This window comes from Homo sapiens, chromosome 12, assembly GCF_000001405.40.
Source record: "Homo sapiens chromosome 12, GRCh38.p14 Primary Assembly".
Lineage (NCBI taxonomy): Eukaryota > Metazoa > Chordata > Mammalia > Primates > Hominidae > Homo > Homo sapiens.
Window position 1 is genome coordinate 7329444 of NC_000012.12, and position 22314 is coordinate 7351757.

Here is a 22314-nt window from a genome sequence, read left to right on the forward strand (position 1 = left end):
AGAAGCTTGATATTTGGCCATACCAAAAGCAAAATACAAGTAAAAATAACATTTGAAAACCATTTTTAACCTTAGAGAAACATATATTAAAATACAAAGCTTAACATTCTTTCCTCTATAAAGCTAAGCAAATTTTCTAAACCACAAGACTGCAGTTGTTTTTTTTGTTTGTTTGTGTTTTTTTTAACTGACATAATTTTTTAAAAGAAAAACCTAAAGGGGGAAAAGAAAGCACTCAATTCTTACCCTGGAATCTCATCACTTATCAAGTAACATGCTCAAATGTCAGTAAAAATAAATAGTTGATAAACCTGAAAACAAATTTTTTAATGAGTTCAGGTTATAACCCAACACAGGATTTTATAGCTGGGAAAGAAGAGCTTGTATAACAACCGAGGCTTACCAAATACAAATAAATATAAAAGCCTAATAAAAACAAACTATCAAATCAAAATCTTTCTGCAGCAGCTTTCACAAAGTGAAAACAACTCAGTTCCACGGAGCTGTATGTTCTGTAGGCATATGGCTAATTTTATTCTGAGTCCTTTGGTCTTATACTATCAAAAGAATCTTTGTCTTGGAGCAAGTCTACTGAAGAAGGCACCAAAATCCTATCCTCCCTATTCACCTAAGTGATTTTAATAATCCTCTTATCAATCCTTTCAAGGTAACTTCAACATCAGTAAGAGTTAACATTCTAAATATCTAAAGCTATGGAAGGAAGGTCCTGCCTATTCTCTTTGCCCCTCTCAAATCCTTCTAGTCTGGTTTACCAAGCAAAAACACTAGCTAGGAGGCTAAAAATATATTCCTATGTTCACTAGCCATTAAATAAACATAGCCACCTGTGTGGGAAGCCTAACATTTTTACTACTTTTCAAAACTTAATAATAAGTCCATTTCCGTAAGCTAACTTTACAGCCCCTCAATATTCTTAATCTAGACAGTTTACTTCACAGACTTTGTTGGTGTCTGTCTCTTCTAGCCTTTTTCAATTGTTTTACCCAGGAACAGTCCTTGAAAAAGCTTTCAAATTCAGGGAACCCCTGCAGGGAACCCTCATGGTAAGTGAGTGTTAGGATTAAGTTGAAGAATACTCCTATTTCACAGAAACCTAGAACTGTCTAACTAGGGCTGAGTTCACTCTCTTCCTTCAGAGATAAAATTTCAGGCTGAGCAAATTTAGAGAAAGGGTTCCTCATCCAGTCATACACTAGCACTGGGAAAAGGAGAGAAAATGCTATTTAATTTGGTTTTGTGGTTCCTCCAGGTGGGTTATATAGCAAGATTTGAGAGTTGTACCCTTCATGCTGAAGTCCAAGTGGCTACAAAAACATTTCAAGAGTTCCTCTGGCAAGGTGGCAGGTCAGTTTCCTTTTAGAACTAAGACTCGAGTCTACAGCTCCCAGCATGAGTGACGCAGAAGACGGATGATTTCTGCATTTCCAACTGAGGTACCAGGTTCATCTCACTAGGGAGTGCTGGACAGTGGGTGCAGGACAGTGGGTACAGTGCACCGTGCACGAGCTGAAGCAGGGCGAGGCATCGCCTCACCCAGGAAGCAAAAGGGGTCAGGGAAGTCTCTTTCCTAGTGAAAGAAAGGGGTGACGGATGGCACCTAGAAAATTGGGTCACTCCCACCATAATACTGCACTTTTCCAATGGGCTTAACAAATGGCACACCAGGAGATTATATCCCACACCTGGCTCAGAGGGTCCTACGCCCACAGAGCCTCGCTCATTGCTAGCACAGCAGTCTGAGATCAAACTGCAAGATGGCAGCGAGGCTGGAGGAGGGGCGCCTGCCATTGCCCAGGCTTGAGTAGGTAAACAAAGTGGCCAGGAAGCTCAAACTGGGTGGAGCCCACCACAGCTCCAGGAAGCCTGCCTGCCTCTGTAGGCTCCACCTCTGGGGGCAGGGCACAGACAAACAAAAGGCAGCAATAACCTCTGCAGACTTAAATCCCTGTCTGACAGCTTTGAAGAGAGCAGTGGTTCTCCCAGCATGCAGCTTGAGATCTGAGAACAGGCAGACTGCCTCCTCAAGTGGGTCCCTGACCCCTGAGTAGCCTAACTGGGAGGCACCCCCCAGTAGGGGCGGACTGACACCTCACACGTCCGGGTACTCCCCTGAGACCAAACTTCCAGAGGAACGATCAGGCAGCAGCATTTGCGGTTCACCAATATCCGCTGTTCTGCAGCCACCGCTGCTGATACCTAGGCAAACAGGGTCTGGAATGGACCTCCAGCAAATTCCAACAGACCTGCAGCTGAGGGTCCTGACTGTTAGAAGGAAAACTAACAAACAGAAAGGACATCCACACCAAAAACCCATCTGTATGTCACCATCGTCAAAGACCAAAGGTAGATAAAACCACAAAGATGGGGAAAAAACAGAGCAGAAAAACCGGAAAATCTAAAAATCAGAGCGCCTCTCCTCCTCCAAAGGAACGCAGCTCCTCACCAGCAACAGAACAAAGCTGGAGGGAGAATGACTTTGACAAGTTGAGAGAAGAACGCTTCAGAAGATCAAACTACTCTGAGCTAAAGGAGGAAGTTCGAACCAATGGCAAAGAAGTTAAAAACCTTGAAAAAAAATTAGATGAATGGATAACTAGAATAACCAATGCAGAGAAGTCCTTAAAGGACCTGATGGAGCTGAAAACCACGGCATGAGAACTATGTGACGAATGCACAAGCCTCAGTAGCCAATACAATCAACTGGAAGAAAGGGTATCAGCAATGGAAGACGAAATGAATGAAATGAAGCGAGAAGAGAAGTTTAGAGAAAAAAGAATAAAAAGAAATGAACAAAGCCTCCAAGAAATATGGGACTATGTGAAAAGACCAAATCTACATCTGATTGGTGTACCTGAAAGTGACGGGGAGAATGGAACCAAGTTGGAAAACACTCTGCAGGATATTATCCAGGAGAACTTCCCCAATCTAGCAAGGCAGGCCAACATTCAAATTCAGGAAATACAGAGAACGCCACAAAGATACTCCTCGAGAAGAGCAACTCCAAGACACATAATTGTCAGATTCACCAAAGTTGAAATGAGGGAAAAAATGTTAAGGGCAGCCAGGGAGAAAGGTCAGGTTACCCACAAAGGGAAGCCCATCAGACTAACAGCTGATCTCTCAGCAGAAACTCTACAAACCAGAAGAGAGTGGGGGCCAATATTCAACATTCTTAAAGAAAAGAATTTTCAACCCAGAATTTCATATCCAGCCAAACTAAGCTTCATAAGTGAAGGAGAAATAAAATACTTCACAGACAAGCAAGTGCTGAGAGATTTTGTCACCACCAGACCTGCCCTAAAAGAGCTCCTGAAGGAAGCACTAAACATGGAAAGGAACAACCAGTACTAGCCACTGCAAAAACATGCCAAATTGTAAAGACCATTGATGCTAGGAAGAAACTGCATCAACTAATGAGCAAAATAACCAGCTAACATCATAATGACAGGATCAAATTCACACATAACAATACTAACCTTAAATGTAAATGGGCTAAATGCTCCAGTTAAAAGACACAGACTGGCAAATTGGATAAAGAGTCATGACCCATCAGTGTGCTGTATTCAGGAAACCCATCTCACCTGAAACCCATCTCACCAGGAAACACATCTCACCTGTTAACAGAAAGTTAACAAAGATACCCAGGAATTGAACTCAGCTCTGCACCAAGCGGACCTAATAGACATCTACAGAACTCTCCACCCCAAATCAACAGAATATACGTTCTTTTCAGCACCACACCACACCTGTTCCAAAATTGACCGCATAGTTGGAAGTAAAGCACTCCTCAGCAAATGTAAAAGAACAAAAATTATAACAAACTGTCTCTCAGACCACAGTGCAATCAAACTAGAACTCAGGATTAAGAAACTCACTCAAAACCACTCAACCACATGGAAACTGAACAACCTGCTCCTGAATGACTACTGGGTACATAACGAAATGAAGGCAGAAATAAAGATGTTCTTTGAAACCAATGAGAACAAAGACACAACATACCAGAATCTCTGGGACACATTTAAAGCAGTGTGTAGAGGGAAATTTATAGCACTAAATGCCCACAAGAGAAAGCAGGAAAGATCTAAAATTGACACCCTAACATGACAATTAAAAGAACTAGAAAAGCAAGAGCAAACACATTCAAAAGCTAGCAGAAGGCAAGAAATAACTAAGATCAGAGCAGAACTGAAGGAGATAGAGACTCAAAAAACCCTTAAAAAATCAGTGAATCCAGGAGCTGGTTTTTTGAAAAGATCAACAAAATTGATAGACCACTAGCAAGACTAATAAAGAAGAAAACAGAGAAGAATCAAATAGACACCATAAAAAATGACAAAGGGGATATCACCACCAATCCCACAGAAATACAAACTACCATCAGAGAATACTATAAACACCTCTACACAAATAAACTAGAAAATCTAGAAGAAATGGATAAATTCCTGGACACATACACCCTCCCAAGACTAAACCAGGAAGAAGTTGAATCTCTGAATAGACCAATAACAGGCTCTGAAATTGAGGCAATAATTAATAGCTTACCAACCAAAAAAAGTCCAGGACCAGATGGATTCACAGCCGAATTCTACCAGAGGTACAAGGAGGAGCTGGTACCATTCCTTCTGAAACTATTCCAATCAATAGAAAAAGAGGGAATCCTCCCTAACTCATTTTATGAGGCCAGCATCATCCTGATACCAAAGCCTGGCAGAGACACAACCAAAAAAGAGAATTTTAGACCAATATCCTTGATGAACATTGATGCAAAAATCCTCAATAAAATACTGGCAAACTGAATCCAGCAACACATCAAAAAGCTTATCCACCATGATCAAGTCGGCTTCATCCCTGGGATGCAAGGCTGGTTCAACATACGAAAATCAATAAACATAATCCAGCATATAAACAGAACCAAAGACAAAAACCACATGATTATCTCAATAGATGCAGAAAAGGCCCTTGACAAAATTCAACAACCCTTCATGCTAAAAACTCTCAGTAAATTAGGTACTGATGGGATGTATCTCAAAATAATAAGAGCTATCTATGACAAACCCACAGTCAATATCATACTGAATGGGCAAAAACCGGAAGCATTCCCTTTGAAAACTGGCACAAGACAGGGATGCCTTCTCTCACCACTCCTATTCAACATAGTGTTGGAAGTTCCAGCCAGGGCAATCAGGCAGGAGAAGGAAATAAAGGGCATTCAATTAGGAAAAGAGGAAGTCAAATCGTCCCTGTTTGCAGATGACATGATTGTGTATCTAGAAAACCCCATTGTCTCAGCCCAAAATCTCCTTAAGCTGATAAGCAACTTCAGCAAAGTATCAGGATACAAAATCAATATGCAAAAATCACAAGCATTCTTATACACCAATAACAGACAAACAGAGAGCCAAATCATGAGTGAACTCCCATTCACAATTGCTTCAAAGAGAATAAAATACCTAGGAATCCAATTTACAAGGGATGTGAAGGACCTATTCAAGGAGAACTACAAACCACTGCTCAATGAAATAAAAGAGGATACAAACAAATGGAAGAACATTCCATGCTCATGGGTAGGAAGAATCAATATCATGAAAATGGCCATACTGCCCAAGGTAATTTATAGATTCAATGCCATCCCCATCAAGCTACCAATGACTTTCTTCACGGAATTGGAAAAAACTACTTTAAAGTTCATATGGAACCAAAAAAGAGCCTGCATCACCAAGTCAATCCTAAGCCAAAAGAACAAAGCTGGAGGCATCACACTACCTGACTTCAAACTATACTACAAAGCTGCAGTAACCAAAACAGCATGGTACTGGTACCAAAACAGATATATAGACCAATGGAACAGAACAGAGACCTCAGAAATAATGCCACATATCTACAACTATCTGATCTTTGACAAACCTGACAAAAACAAGCAATGGGGAAAGGATTCCCTATTTAATAAATGGTGCTGGGAAAAACTGGCTAGCCATATGTAGAAAGTTGAAACTGGATCCCTTCCTTACAGCTTATACAAAAATTAATTCAAGATGGATTAAATACTTACATGTTAGACCTAAAACCATAAAAACCATAAAAACCTAAACCCTAGAAGAAAACCTAGGCAATACCATTCAGGACATAGGCATGGGCAAGGACTTCATGTTTAAAACACCAAAAGCAATGGCAACAAAAGGCAAAATTGACAAATGGGATCTAATTAAACTAAAGAGCTTCTGCACAGCAAAAGAAACTACCATCAGAGTGAACAGGCAACCTATAGAATGGGAGAAAATTTTTGCAACCTACTCATCTGACAAAGGGCTAATATCCAGAATCAACAATGAACTCAAACAAATTTACAAGAAAAAACAAACAACCCCATCAAAAAGTGGGCAAAGGATATGAACAGACACTTCTCAAAAGAAGACATTTATGCAGCCAAAAAACACATGAAAAAATGCTCATCATCACTGGCCATCAGAGAAATGCAAATCAAAACCACAATGAGATACCATCTCACACCAGTTAGAATGGCAATCATTAAAAAGTCAGGAAACAACAGGTGCTGGAGAGGATGTGGAGAAATAGGAACACTTTTACACTGTTGGTGGGACTGTAAACTAGTTCAACCATTGTGGAAGTCGGTGTGGCGATTCCTCAGGGATCTAGAACTAGAAATACCATTTGACCCAGCCATCCCATTACTGGGTATATACCCAAAGGATTATAAATCATGCTGCTATAAAGACACATGCACACGTATGTTTATTGCGGCACTATTCACAATAGCAAAGACTTGGAACCAACACAAATGTCCAACAATGATAGACTGGATTAAGAAAATGTGGCACATATACACCATGGAATACTATGCAGCCATAAAAAATGATGAGTTCATGTCCTTTGTAGGGACATGGATGAAGCTGGAAGCCATCATTCTCAGCAAACTATTGCGAGGACAAAAAACCAAACACCACATGTTCTCACTCATAGTTGGGAATTGAACAATGAGAACACATGGACACAGGAAGGGGAACATCACACACTGGGGACTGTTGTGGGGTGAGGGGAGCAGGGAGAGACAGCATTAGGAGATAGACCTAATGCTAAATGACAAGTTAATGGGTGCAGCACACCAATGTGGCACATGTATACATATGTAACTAACCTGCACATTGTGCACAGGTACCCTAAAACTTAAAGTATAATAATAATAATTAAAAAAGAAAAAGAGGACACAAACAAATGGAAAAACATTCCATGCTCATGCATAGGAAGAATCAATATCGTGAAAATGGCCATACCTTGTAAAGTAATGCTATTCCCATCAAGCTACTATTGACTTTCTTCACAGAATTAGAAAAAAACTACTTTAAAGTTCATATGGATCCAAAAGAGGGCCCGTATAGCCAAGACAACCCTAAGCAAAAAGAGCAAAGCTGGAGGCATCATGCTACCTGACTTCAAACTATGCTACAAGGCTACAGTAACCAAAATAGCATGGTAATGGTACCAAAACAGATACATAGACCAATGGAACAGGAGAGAGGCCTCAGAAATAACACCACACATCGAGAACCATCTGATCTTCCACAAACCTGACAAAAACAAGTAATGGGGAAAGGATTCACTATTTAATAATGATGTTGGGAAAACTGGCTAGCCATATGCAGAAACAAAAACTGGACCCCTTCCTTACACCTTAAACAAAAATTATCTCAAGATGGATTAAAGACTTAAATGTAAGACCTAAAACCATAAAAACCCTAGAAGGAAACCTAGGCAATACCATTCAGGACATAAGCACGGGCAAAGACTTCATGACTAAAACACCAAAAGCAATGGCAACAAAAGCCAAAATTGACAAATGGGATCTAGTTAAACTAAAGAGCTTTTGCACAGCAAAAGAAACTACCATCAGAGTGAACAGGCAACCTACAGAATGGGAGAAAATTTTTGCAATCTATCCATCTGACAAAGGGCCAATATCCAGAATCTACAAGGAACTTAAACAAGTTTATGAGAGAAACACAAACAATCCCATCAAAAAGTGGGCAAAGGATATTAGCAGACACTTCTCAAAACAAGACATTTATGCAGCCAACAAACATACCAAAAAAAGATCATCACTGGTCATTAGAGAAATGCAAATCAAAACCACAATGAGATACCATCCCACGCCAGTTAGAATGGTGATCATTAAAAAGTCAAGAAACAAGAGATGCTGGAGTGGATGTGGAGAAATAGGAACGCTTTTACACTGTTATTAGTAGTGTAAATTAGTTCAACCACTGTAGAAGACAGTGTGGCGATTCCTCAAGGATCTAGAACCAGAAATACCATTTGATCCAGCAATCCCATTATTGGGTGTATACCCAAAGGATTATAAATCATTCTACTATAAAGTCACATACACACGTATGTTTATTGCAGCACTATACAATAGCAAAGACTTGGAGCCAACCCAAATGTCCATCAATGATAGACTGGATAAAGAAAACGTGGCACATATACACCATGGAATAGTATGCAGCCATAAAAAAGAATGAGTTCATGTGCTTTGCAGGGACATGGATGAAGCTGGAAACCCTCATTCTCAGCGAACTAACACAGGAACAGAAAACTGAACACCGCATGTTCTCACTCACAACTGGGAGCTGAACAATGAGAACACATGGACACAGGGAGGGGAATGTCACACACTGGGGCTTGTCGGAGGAAGAAGGGCAAGGGGAGGAATAGCATTAGAAGAAACACTGAATGTAGATGATGGATGATGGGTGTAGCAAACCACCATGGCACATGTATACCTATGTAACAAACCTGCACATTCTGCACACGTATCCCAGAACTTAAAGTATAATTTTTAAAAATAAATAAATAAAAAGAAAAATAAATTGTTCCCTTCATGTTGACACATGTTTTGGGGAGATTTCATGATACACAGGAGATATTCCTGACATGAATAAGCATGTTAAGACAGGGAATGCCAGGAATTTTAGGGAAAAAAACTTGAAGTCTTTATTCAGGAAAATATGCTTTCCTTGGTGCTTCAACTTAGATAACACTTTGCTGAGTAAGATTGGCTCTAGGGCTGAGAAGTCTAGGGAAACAGGCCCTTCCCTTTGTACACAGATGTGGTTCTTTTGCAGTGAGATGCTTACTCTGAATATCTGTCTAGTAACCTACCTTCCTCCTGGTCTACCCCGCTGATCTAGTGTTTTAGGCTCAATAGACCTGTGGTGGAAGGGAAACTGCCTGAGATTTATCATTCCTATATGGCACATATGGGATGAGGCTTAGCCAATTTCCACCCAGATCTTCAGCACTCCCATTGTGTCTGAAGTTGTGATTTCATCACTTTAATCACCTAGGAGATGGCAGAGCTGGGCAGAGAATTCCATGTCCTCTCTCACATCCTAATGGTGGTGGTTGAACCAGGAGCCAGTTTATTCCCAAATGGTGTTCCTTGGCTCTATGCTGTGTTTGCTGTGCTTTTTGTATTTTTTCTTTTTGCCATGTTATCTCCCTTTTTACTTGAGATAGACCAGCACATAAAGAAATGTAAGTGTCATGGTGGGCCTGAGGGCACAGGGAAATATAGTGAGATAATAAATGTATGAAGAGAGGGCAAGATACCTATTATAATGTGAGAAACAAGAAAATAATGCTTGCTCTTCTCTGGTCTCCAAGGCTCAATGACCCTGGACTTAGAGTTCTTAGAAATTATAATCTTATATACAATTTAAATACTTGGAGGACACAGAACAAAACTAGACTAAGAAGTCCATTCCTAGTATCCTTGTGGAGCATAAGAAAGTATCTTGGGCCCTGACTGAACCAATAGTAATACCCACTATAAAGATATGGGACACTGTTTGGAATCTGGGGATATTTGAGAGAGTTTTCAGATGATAGTCTCTGATGCAGTATGCTTTGTCTTAGTCTTGATCAGATGCAGGTATTCTCTGCATAACACTGTGCATAAGGACAAAAAAAACAGTGAGATAAAGATGGACCATCTAGAAAGGCCAGGTAAGTATTCTTTGCCCTTCACCTCTGGGTTATTTTGGCCATAAGCTGGCAACTCTAGTCAGTTCCACAGTCTATGTGCCAGATAGCTAACCCCATGCTCAGTTCTGGTCTCAGTGAAACAGTCTCTTCAAAGTGTGTGCATGACCTCTCTTCCTCTAAGCTTAGACTAAGACCACTGAGACTTCTCTCTAGAGAGAATATTTTTCAGGCAGAGGTTTGATTCTGAGCCCCCTTAACTCTTGCTGGTTGAAAAGTTTCTTTTGCCATTTATACTTGTGATATTTCTCTTCCTACTAGGGAGGTTGCCTCTTATGTGACTCAGTGACTTAGATATCATTTTTTCATGCTAGACAATGAAAAGAAAGGTGGCTTGTCTCCAGGAAGTGGTTATAAATTTGCTTTTGTGATAGGATAAGGGCAGAGGGACTTTGTAGGTATGAGATCATCATACAAACAGCCTGAGGAGACTGAAAGTCCACTTTTTTGGGTGACATTACGACCATGTGTTAATCATAATTCCTGCAGGTTGTGTATATTATGGAACCTGCCTCTCCAGTCAAGGTCAGCTCTAAGTTCCTTTTCTGCTGTCTTTTTGGCTCCCTCATAAGATCACAGAGAGGGAACACGCTAAATTCCAGGGTTCTTTGTGCCCACTGCTGCACAACTTTTTATGGATATGTCCTATAGATACCCTGAAGAGGTTTCCCTCATACAAAATGAAAATGCCTAGTCTGTAAAAGGTTCTTGTGTTGCTTTGAGATAAGTAAAACAGGGTGAAAATACATTTCTGTCTGAGTACATATTTGGATTTGGGAACATTTTTGCTTATTAACTCAAGGGAAGAATGGTACCACATTTTTGGGTTGTCGCCTCCCCACCATAATAAAAGTATATGATGATTTCAATTGTAGACCATCAGAATGTCTCTCCAAACACTGCAATTACATAAATTAGAATATATAATTTATAGTGAGAATATATAATTTAATACTTATAGTTGGAAAAGTGTATTACCGCAAAGTTCACATGAAGTCACTGTAACTCCCAGTTGTTTGTACAAATGTCTTTAATTCCTCACTTCAATTCATGTACCACTTCCTCACCTGCTATTGTTCCTGAGACTGTTGTTTGCCCTTAGAACCCATAGGCAGAGGAACAATACTCCAAGAGATGATTTCAAAGGGCTCTCAAATGGGTGGCTTTGTCTGAAGCTTTCCATTCCAGCAATGAGTGAGAGGAGTATCTCCCCCATGGAAGGGCAGAGAGACCCAGGCTTATTATCAAGGGCTTCTTGTAAATGACCAAGAGCATTTCAGAGAGTTCAGAATCTGAATCGGCTCATATCTCTCTTATACGTCAACTTCCACTTTTCTGCAAGTTGGTGTATGAGACAGAAGCCTACTCAGAATCTGAATATGCCTCCCACAACCCCATTCCCATTCACTGATGCATACAAATTATGCTATTATGACCACATTTTCCAAATTCAAATGTTAGTTCTTTGGACCATCAAATGACTTTTGTGCTAATTCTGTATGTGTCCAAAGTGTGGGAAGTTGCTAAAATATGGACATATTTTTGACATTTTCCTACCTTATGGTGACCATTGCTCCTAGTATAATAGATTAATTTTCTTTACTTAAGTTTCTTGGGTTGGATGAGAAGAACATTAGTCCAGATTTTAAAAATAAAGTCACAGAACATTAGCTCTAGAAGCAGTAGAGCTGATGTAGAAAATATCTATTTATTTTCTGTTTGTTATGTAAGATAAAAGTTGTGGGACATTTGACGACTTTCAGAGTTCAGGTAACATTCATTTATGGACAATCTATACAGGTTGGGATTATCTGCATAGATATGGGAATCAGGACATAATTGCAAAGAAAGAGTTGACCTGTCACTGAGGAACAAATGTTCTGGAACTGTGGTTTCCTCTTTTCCATTTTTTTGTGTATTCAGCTTGAGAAATAATAATCTCTTGTAACAAATATTTTCCAGACTATGGGTCAAGAGTTACATAGTCCTGTCCTAACATGATAGCTCTAAGTGTTTTATGATGTACAGAAATTTTTACAATCTGTATCTCTTGCATTGTTTCTGCTGTCTAAAATGTGTGCAGCCATTCTGCTAGGTCACAGATATAACCAAGCAATTTTCTTGTTGTTTCAGGCTGTCCTCTGGAGTCACCAAGGAGAGGAGTTCTGGGAGGGAAGAAAAATGGGATGGGAAACGACCCATTACTATTTGTGAAAGTGACAAAAGAACCCAGGGATTCTGAGGCTGAAATCTATACCCCTGGGCCTTCAGTTTGAGAGTCATTTAGCCTATATGGAATTACCTGTGACATTACATTCCAGAGAGATGAGAAATTCTGAGACCCTTATTATCGATGTTTATATTGAAAAAATGGTAATAAATATTTTGAGACTCTCAGAAAAGTTCAGTGTTACCAAGAAATTTGTTGAACTTCTAACTTCTTCCACACAACTGATTTTAGTCAGTTCAAATCTCACACTATATGACTCAGCAAACTCTGAATCCCAGGCCACAGCTGAGTCCTTCCTCTCTCCCCACTCAAGATGGTCACACAGAAATATCACCCAGACATTCTAAAATGTGTTGGGAACAGGCCCCCCAAAATCTGGCCATAAACTGGCCCCACAACTGGCCATAAACAAAATCTCTGCAGCACTGTGACATGTTCATGATGGCCATGACACCCACACTGGAAGGTTGTGGGTTTGCTGGAATGAGGGCAGGGAACAGCTGACCCACCCAGGGTGGAAAACCACTTAAAGGCATTCTTAAACCACAAACAATAGCATGAACATCTGTGCCTTAAGGACATGCTCCTGCTGCAGATAACTAGCCAAACCCATCCCTTTATTTTGGCCCATCCCTTTGTTTCCCATAAGGAATACTTTTAGTTAATCTATAATCTATAGAAACAATGCTTATCACAGGCTTGCTGTTAATAAATACGTGGGCAAATCTCTGTTCGAGGCTCTCAGCTCTGAAGGCTGTGAGACCCCTGATTTCCCACTCCACACCTCTATATTTCTTGTGTGTGTCTTTAATTCCTCTAGCACCACTGGGTTAGGGTCTCCCCAACCGAGCTGGTCTCAGCAAAAATGTTCTATACAGGTTGCATTTTCCTCCAGCCTTGGAGAGGAGCATGACACTTACCCAAGGAAACAGTGGTGCAGTGGCACGATCACGGCTCACTGCAGCCTGGACCTCCCCAGCTCAAGCAATCCCCCTGTCTCTGCCTTTCAAGTAGCTGGGACTACAGGCAAGTGGAGAAAGATGCATGGGGAAGAAATTGCTACAGTTTTTATTTTCTACCCAAAGCTTCATGGACTCCAAAATATTATTTATTTAGTGTCAAATGAAAGTACTTCTTCTCTTTCCTCTCCCACATCAGGTTTTCTTTTCACGTAAATCTCATCCCATAATCTCTCTTATCTTCACCAATTTATACCTGTTTACCTGCTCTTCCTCTTTGTTCACCTCTCTCAACTACACGCAATATCTTTTGTCATTATGGGTCAATAAGACAGCCAAGTGGAAACCTCTAGTTAGATACATTAGAGGATATTAGGGATGGGGAAAGAGAGAGGTGGAGGAAGAGAGAGAGAGAGAAGGAGACAGAAAGAAAGAGGAGGAGAGAAATATCTGAACTGGAGTTATGGAATAGGTTGTTTTGAGATGAAAGGAACTCTTGTCAGTAGAAATGTTAAAGTCTGGTGCTACCTGTCAGAACAGTTATGGGAGGAATTTCAGGATGGAATGGGAAGTTAAAACGATTTGCGAAAGTCTCTTCACTGTCTCATAATTATAACAATTTGTGACAAAGAATGGTTGAAATCTCAATCTCAATGCCATTCTTACATTGCTACAAAGAAATACCTGAGGTTGGGTAATTTATAAAGAAAAGAGATTTAATTACCTCATGGTTCTGCAGGATGTACAGGAAGCATAGTGCTGGGCATCTTATTGGCTTCTGATGAGGCCTCAGGAAGCTTATAATCATGGTGGAAGGCAAAGGGAGAGCCAGCATATCATACAGAGAAAGCAAAAGCAAAAGCAAAAGAGAGAGCAGGGAGGTGCCACAAACTTTTAAACAACCAGATCTTGTGAGAACTCACTATCCTGAGGATAGCAGCAAGCCATGAGGGATATATCCCCATGACCCAAACACCTCCCACCAGGCCCCAACTTCAATATTGGGGATTACATTCCAATATGATACTTGGGTGGGACAAATATCCAAACCATATCATTTCACCTCTTGCCCCCCAAATCTTATGTCCTCACATTGCCAGATTTGCTCATGCCCTCCCAATAGTCCTCTAGAGTCTTAACTCACTCCAATATTAACTCAAAAGTCCCAAGTCCAACTTCAAAGTCTCATCTGGAGATAAGTTACTTCTACATATGAACCTATGAAATCAAACTCACTTTATTTACTTCCAAGATGCAATGGGGTACACAGTGGGTAAACATTCCCATTCCAAAGGGAGAAATGGTCCAAAAGAAAGGAGCAACAGGCCCCTAGCAAGTCTGAAACCCCAGCAGGGCAATCACTAAGCCTTTTTTTTTGTTTGTTTTTTTTGAGACAGGGTCTTGTTCTGTCACTTGGGCTGTAGTGCAGTGGGTTATCGTGGCTCACTGCAGCCTTGACCTCCTGGAGTCAAGTGATCCTCTTACCTCAGCCTCCCTAGGAGCTGGGACTACAGACATGTGTCACCTCACTTGGCTAATTTTTTATTTTTTTGCACAGATGTTGCCCAGGCTGGTCTCTAACTCCTCCTCTTTGTTCACCTCTCTCAACTACATGCAATCTGCCTGCTTCGGCCTCCCAAAGTGCAGGAATTACAGGCATGAGCCACCATACCTAGCTCAGTCATTAAACCTTAAATGTCCAAAATAATCTGCTTTAACTTCATGTACCACATCCTGGGCACACTGGTACAAGGGGTAGGCTTCCAAGGCCTTGGGCAGCTCTGCCCCTTTGGCTTTTTCATGCTGAGATTGAAAACTGCTGGTGGATCTACCATTCTTGGGTCTGGAAGGTGATAGCCCCCTTCCCACAACTGCACTCAGCAGTGCCCCAATGGGGAGTCTGTGTGGGACATCCAATCCCACATTTCCCCTTGGTATTGCCCTAGAGTTCTCTGTGAGTGTTCCACCCTTGCAGCAGGTTTCTGCCTGGGCACCCAGGCTTTCTCATAAATACTCTGAAATCTAGGCTGAGGCTGCCAATCCTTCTTCACTCTTGGATTCTGTGTACTCACATGCTTAAAACCACATGGAAGGCACCAAGGCAAATGGCTTGTGCTCTCTGAAGCTGCTGCTACAACTGTATCTGGGTCCCTTTGAACTGAGGCTGCAGCTGGAGCAGATGTGAGGAGCAGTGTCCCCAGGCTGCACAGGGCAGTAGGCCCTGGGCCTGGCCCCTGAAACCATTCTTTCCTCTTAGGTTTCTGGGCTTGTGATGGGAGGGGCTGCTTCTTAGATCTCTGAAATGCCTTCAGGGCCTCTTTTTCACTGTCTTGGCTATCAGCACTTGACTCCCTTCTTGTTATGCAAGTATCTCTAGAAAGTGGTTGCTCCACAGCCCATTTGAATTTCTCTACTGATAATGCTTTTTTTTTTTTTTTGCTCCACCACATGGCTAGGCTACAAATTATCTGAACTTTTATGCTTTGCTTCTCTTTTAAATATAAATTACAACATTAAGTCATTTCTTTGCTCCTGTAGCTGAATATAGGCTGGTAGAAGCAGCCAGGCCACATCTTGAATGCTTCACTGCTTAGAAATTTCTTCCACCAGATGCCTTAAGTCATCACTTAAGTTGAAACTTCCATAGATCCCTAGGGCATGAACAGAAAGCAGCCAAGCTCTTTGCTAAGGCATAATGTGAGTAACCTTTACTCCAGTTTCCATTAAGTTCCTCAATTTCATTTGAGACTTCCCCAGCCTGGACTTCTCTGTTCATATCACTATCAGCACTTTGGTCACAACCATTTAACCAGTCTCTAAGAAGTTGCAAACTTTCCCACATCTTCCTATCTTCTTCTGAGTCCTCCCAACTCTTCCAGCCTCTGCCTATTACCAAGTTCTAAAGTTGTTTCCATAATTTCAAGCACCTTTATAGCAATGCCCCACTCCACAGCACCAATTTTCTGTGTTAGGCTGTTCTTGTGTTGCTACAATGAAATACAGAGGCTGGGTAATTTATAAAGAAAATAAGTTTAATTGACTCACAGTTTTGCAGACTGTACAGGCAGCATGGTGCTGGCATCTGTTTGGATGCCTTCTGATGACGCCTCAGGAAGCTTACAACCATGGTGGAAGGCAAAGGGGGTAGAGTGGCTTATCACATGGCAAGGGCAGGAGTGAAAGAGAGAGCAGGGACGTGCCACACTTTTAAAGAACCATATATTGGGAGAACTCGTTCACTATTACAAGGACGGCACCAAGACATGAAGGATCTGTGCCTATGACCCAAATACCTCCCACTAGGCCCAATCTCCAACTTCGGGGCCTACATTTTAACATAAGATTTGGGTGGAACAAATATCCAAACCATATGACCAATTTACTCTGATATTTGTAAAACTGTATGTATATTAAGAAGATATTCAATATAGCCATGGGATGTTAGTCTCTTATGTCTGCATGGGTTTCCTTGGGGTGTGTATTACTTCGTGTGATTTTAGATCATCATCATCTTTTATTTTTGTAGATGCCCCCAAAATTGCTGGGGGCCACATTTATTCTTTTTTATTCCATTTTATTTTTTATTTCTCCCCTTTTCTATGTTTTTTATTAATTTGTATTGATTCTTTTTATTACTCTGATTCTCTAAAACATTTTAAAATCATTTTTCCTACTTTCTTTATCTTTTGGCTTGTGTGTGTCTTTCCTATTACTGCTTGTTTCTTAAGTCTTGGGTTACTTCTTACTGAGTATAATTTCTTTTACTCTTTTTTTTCTCTGTCTGCCCAATACATTTCCTGCCAATGTTGTTTCATTCTTTGTGTTTCACTATTTGGAATGAGAGACTGCAACTCTTAAGGCTCTATTGTTCCATTCACCAAAATGTAATTCTTTCCAGTGTTAAACAAATTCAAGGAGACCAAGAGCTCTAAAATCAGACAACAAACAAAGAGACACCTAGGTATTTTAAGCAGGAAGTGGTTTACTACAGGGAATAATTATGCTTACAAAACCCTCATCAGGAAGTTTTAAAACCCCCAGGAAACCACTGCTAAAGGGCACCATGCTGTAATATCTAGGCTAGCAGTTTTCAGGACAAGTACAAAGATCCTTGCGAAACCGTATCTTCCATGAACAAGTCTCTCTGGTGGAAGCGAGCCCAGATTCTTCCTGTTAGGGATTGTGGGAAATAAAGTTCCTGGCCCCGCAAACCTAGTCATTTAGGGAGAACATAAAAGGAGGCAGGAATGATGAGGAATTAATAAGCAGTAATGCGGCTCAGTGGCCTATTCAGTGCAAAGGGATGCTCTCTGCTTACCTGCAGCAGAAAAACTGATCACACTGTAGGATTTCCCTAGTTCCTTTGACCGCTGCTCTTCATGGTGAGTTTTCAACTTGCTGGGTCAGGAGGGCTTAACATCACCCACATATCAAGATTCTATTTTTAAAGAAATTAATTGTAAGTGCAGAAATTTTTCTCTCTGTTGTCTACAATTGCAATAGCTTTCAGTTCATTTCTCTAAAATTGTGTTTACTTAAGTTTACATATCTTTGTTTGTGGGGCACCAACATTTTAATTTCCTTACCAGGAAATCATTGCTCTTCAAAGATCCTCTTGGGCTAATGAATACCTGATGTATTTATTTAAAAATATTCTTTGTAACCCAATCTCTGGGATGTTAAAAGTTAGCCTAATAGTTTTCTTCATTGACAATGGGTGGTTACTTTCCTTATATCTTTATAACCAGTTTATCTTGGTTAATTTCTAAGGTAAAAAGGAATGGTCTCGGCCGGGCGCGGTGGCTCACGCTTGTAATCCCAGCACTTTGGGAGGCCGAGGCAGGTGGATCACGAGGTCAGGAGATCGAGACCACGTTGAAACCCCGTCTCTACTGAAAATACAAAAAAATTAGCCTGGTGTGGTGGCGGGCGCCTGTAGTCCCAGCTACTCGGAGAGGCTGAGGCAGGAGAATGGCGTGAACCTGGGAGGCGGAGCTTGCAGTGAACCAAGTTCACGCGCCACTGCACTCCAGCCTGGGTGACAGAGCGAGACTCCGTCTCAAAAAAAAAAAGAAAAAGAAATGGTCTCTTATGCTAAGGATGCCATGGAATAAAACAACCAGAAACTTCTCAATTGCCATTCCCTTGATAAAATAATAACAAATATAAAATTAAAAACTGGTTGCATTGAACTATTATTGAGTTTCCACATGAGCTTCACATGTCATTCAAATGTCCACAAACCCACATTTTTCTTCTTTAAATATTTACTACTTTGCATCATTAAATTAACACATTTTCAAACCTCATTGTTAAAAAAAGGCAAATATTTGTAGTTTTTAAAGTATCCCCTTCACTCATGACTATTAGAAATTTGTTTTTTTCTTATATTTGTCTATAATACCAGGAGGTGTAAATAGGCTATACTAAAATTAATAAAAATATTGAGCAGAGTTCCACATAAGCAGGCTCTACCATTCATTAGGGAGTGTCAATCATCTGCAACCACTCTGTGCAAGGGGAAAGAGCATGGATTGTTCAGGGAAGTGGCACACATCACAACTGTTCATTGGTGAGACCCAGTCACATGATCATAACTAGTTGTAATGAATGTTGAGAAATATAGCTAATGCACAGACCTAGCTAAAAATCTTATTGATTGTAAGAAGAGAATGGAATATGGTTTACCACTTATGACCCTATTAATAAGGAAGAGGAGAATGGGTGACAGTAGATTTCTTAGTCCATGTGTCTATTCCAGCCCATCCATTAGTGGATGATCCTATGGTTAGAACATAGCATGCCATTTAGTATATAGCTATTGAGTCAAACTGCCTGGGTTTGAATCCAGGCTCTTCATTTATAAGCTTTGTTACCTTCAGCAAGTTACCTTTCTGAGCCTCAGTTTTTACTTTATTAACTGAAAAAAAATGAGAATCTTAATAGTACTTACTTCACAGAGTTATTGGGCTTTCATGTGAAGTAAAATACATTAAGCACTTAAAACAAGGCTTTACATATAGTACATAGTTAATAAATATTCATTACTTAGGTTAGAGGAAAGCTGGAAGGCCCTCACAAAGCAGTAATAAGTCCTTGTTATGTTTTTTTTTTTTTTCAAAATAAATGTTTTTCAAAAACTGAGTACTTTGGAATACTTTTAGATTTACAAAAGAGTTGAAAAATAGTATGGCCAGGTGCGATGGCTTACCTCTATAATCTCAGCACTTTGGGAGGTCAAGCTCAAGGTTGTGAGCTCCCTCCTCTGAGACTTAAGGGGAAAAATTACAATGAGGTAGACGGTGAATCTGGATTTCTGTCCAAACCACACTGGTTAGCTAAACTGGGATGGACTTGATTCTGAGTTGAGAAATTGTGGAGAATTCAAGCATGAATGTCTCTACGGAAATATGTTTAGAGACTGATAAGCTTGTGGAAATCCAGAAATGGCAGGTAGAGCACATCAGAAATTACTTTCTTATCTTTAATCAAATGACATTTACTAAACCCTTAATTATATATTGATTTTTAAATTATATCCTAGGTTGTCTGTTAAATATTGCAGTAGTTCAGATGTGATTGACACTCTTTTGAAATTACTCACATTTCAAATTCTCAAATTGAGTTATACTTTCCTCAACTAGGAAATATAAATAACTAATGGAAACCTTCTTGGATGCTTGCTGGGAGATTTGGATGACTTAATGCATAGTAGTTAGTAATTTCTCAATAAAAAGATTGTTTTTGAAAGATGAAGTTAAATTATCCTAGTAATGGTCAATGGTTAAGCAAAAAATTATTTCTTTCAGGAATTGCAAGTAATAAAACATGACTGGAATAACAAACCACAGGGAAAGGTGGGAGAATGAAAAGATGTATAAGGGTCATATCCTACAATTGTCGTGGCCACACCAAACGATCTGACTCATGTGGAGCGAGCGGGCAGATACATTTCTTTGTAAGTGTATCCTCAGCCACTTGTACTATGCTTTGGGCATTTTAATTACTCTACAAATGTTGACTGAATAAATTATTTTTCAGAAATGTTTTTCTGGAGTAATGGGAACAATACACTAAGCTGGGGGAAGACAGGATGTTTTCAAAGTAGTTAGGATGTCCTAGACTTTCTCACAGAAAGTATCTCATTGATCTCATTGAGGAGTGATAGTATATCTCATACTCTTCAAAATATCTTATACATGAAACTGACATAGCTTGGGAACAATTACCCATACCCCCTCTTCCCTTTGCCTTTATTGCTAACATTCTCTCCTGATGCAAAAAATGCAGGACCCGGGAATAAACTAAATATTTCCCTTCTCTTCTCTGAGCTCCCAGAAGCAGAGTTTATGCCAAAATATGAGGAGCTACGGAGAAAGTCACTAGAGAGGTGTGCAGACTCATTTCTTGAGCAAATAAATGTATGGTCCTAAATTTAGCTATCTTCATTTGCTAAAACATGTACCTTTGTTGCAGAAGCAGTTCCAGAAGCTGGGTTGTAGTCAGAGAATATTAGCAGCTCCAGGTGCCAAGCTGGAGTCACAGAGATTTCCTAGACCTAAGATGTGAATCTTAAATCACCCCTCACATCTAAAGCTACTTTTCATGAACTGGAGCTCTGTGAATCCCAGGAAACAATGTAACTTTAGAGAGCATCTTTAGTGTGTGACTTTTCTAGTCCCAAATGCAATGTGCAAATAGCTAAGGAATTCTGGGGTTGCCAGTTCTTACAGTTACGTGGTTGGTTATTTCCTTTAACTTACTTGTGATATTCATCTATCCATCCATTTACCACATCTTCGTGTCTCTGCTTTTCTGTTCCTGTCTCTTTCTGTCCTCTTTCCTCAACTTATAAATGTCAATTTATATCATAGTACAGTTACTCTATTAGTAATACATACTTAGGTGTGAAAACTACTTCCTGGGAGATAACAATCAGATGTTGTGAAGTTACTATTATAAGCTTTTCAGCTGTTTTTATTTCCAGTCAATTCTAGATGTTTTGATAATTACCCAAACAGATGTTAGAAATGATGTTTGTTCATTTTAATTTTGACATAATTTTAAAGGTACCAAAAATTGCCAAAATATCAAAAGAACTACTCTTCCTCTTTATCCATTTAGCATTTACTCCATTCCCTTTACCCCTTTCTCCTGAGCTGCAGATTATCATACCCTTTACCTGAAATTCATCAATATGTATTTTATAAGAACAAAAAGATCATTTTATGTAACCTAGTACAATTATCAAACAAAAATATAATATTATGCAAAGTTCACATTCAAATATTGCCAATTGTTTCAATAATATTATTTGTAATGACTTTTTCTTCTTATCCAGGATTCAGTCAAGGATCATGCATTGAACTTAATTGTCATGTCTCTTTATAAAGTCTTCTTTGATCTAATGAATTTAGAATATTATAGATAAATGGATATATAGATGGATAGATATACATCAATACATATAGATATATATATAGATAATGCATATAAATATGTGTGTAATATGTGTGTGTGCATGCATGTGTATGTATGTCTATTTTTCCATCTTTCTGCTGAGATGAGTACGTCTTAGCTTGAGCATCCATAACAAAATACCACAGACTGGTAGCTTAAACCACAGGAATTTATTTCTCACAGTTCTAGAGGTTGGAAAGTCCAAGATCAAGGTGCCAGCTGATTTGGTTTCTGGTAAGGGCTTTCTTTCTGGCTTGCAGACAGCCATCTTTTCACTGTGGTCTCACGTGGTGAAGAGAGAGCACTCTGATGTCTCTTCCTCTTCTTATTAGGCAGCAGCCCTGTCAGATTAGGGATTCCCACCCTATGATCCCATTTAACCTACATTACCTCCTTAAGGCCCTATCTCCAAATATAGCCACAGCAGAGGTTAGGGATTCAACATATGAATTTTAGAGGGACAAATTTAATATATATCAGACTACAAACAACACTTCAGAAACAATTAGATCACTTAGAATTCAGATATTGCTTTCTAAATTTTATTTCTCTCTAAAATAAACCAGGGCTCCTTGGAAAGGTGCCTGA

At 39.9% G+C, this 22314-nt stretch overlaps 1 protein-coding gene and 1 long non-coding RNA gene across 4 annotated transcripts in view; one reads left to right on the forward strand and one right to left on the reverse strand.

Moving 5' to 3' along the window:
- CD163L1 (CD163 molecule like 1) overlaps positions 1-22314 on the reverse strand; it is a 125386-nt gene that overhangs the window by 10676 nt on the left and 92396 nt on the right. For all 3 annotated transcript variants that reach the window (XR_931282.3, XR_007063068.1, XR_007063067.1), the window contains exon 20: positions 17585-17704. The gene's annotated coding sequence lies outside the window, so the exon portion shown is untranslated. The remainder of the gene's footprint in view (positions 1-17584; positions 17705-22314) is intronic.
- Positions 9421-12297, forward strand: LOC101927882 (uncharacterized). The gene is made up of 3 exons (XR_242906.4): positions 9421-9570; positions 9952-10041; positions 12211-12297. It is a non-coding gene; the product is annotated as an uncharacterized LOC101927882 (long non-coding RNA).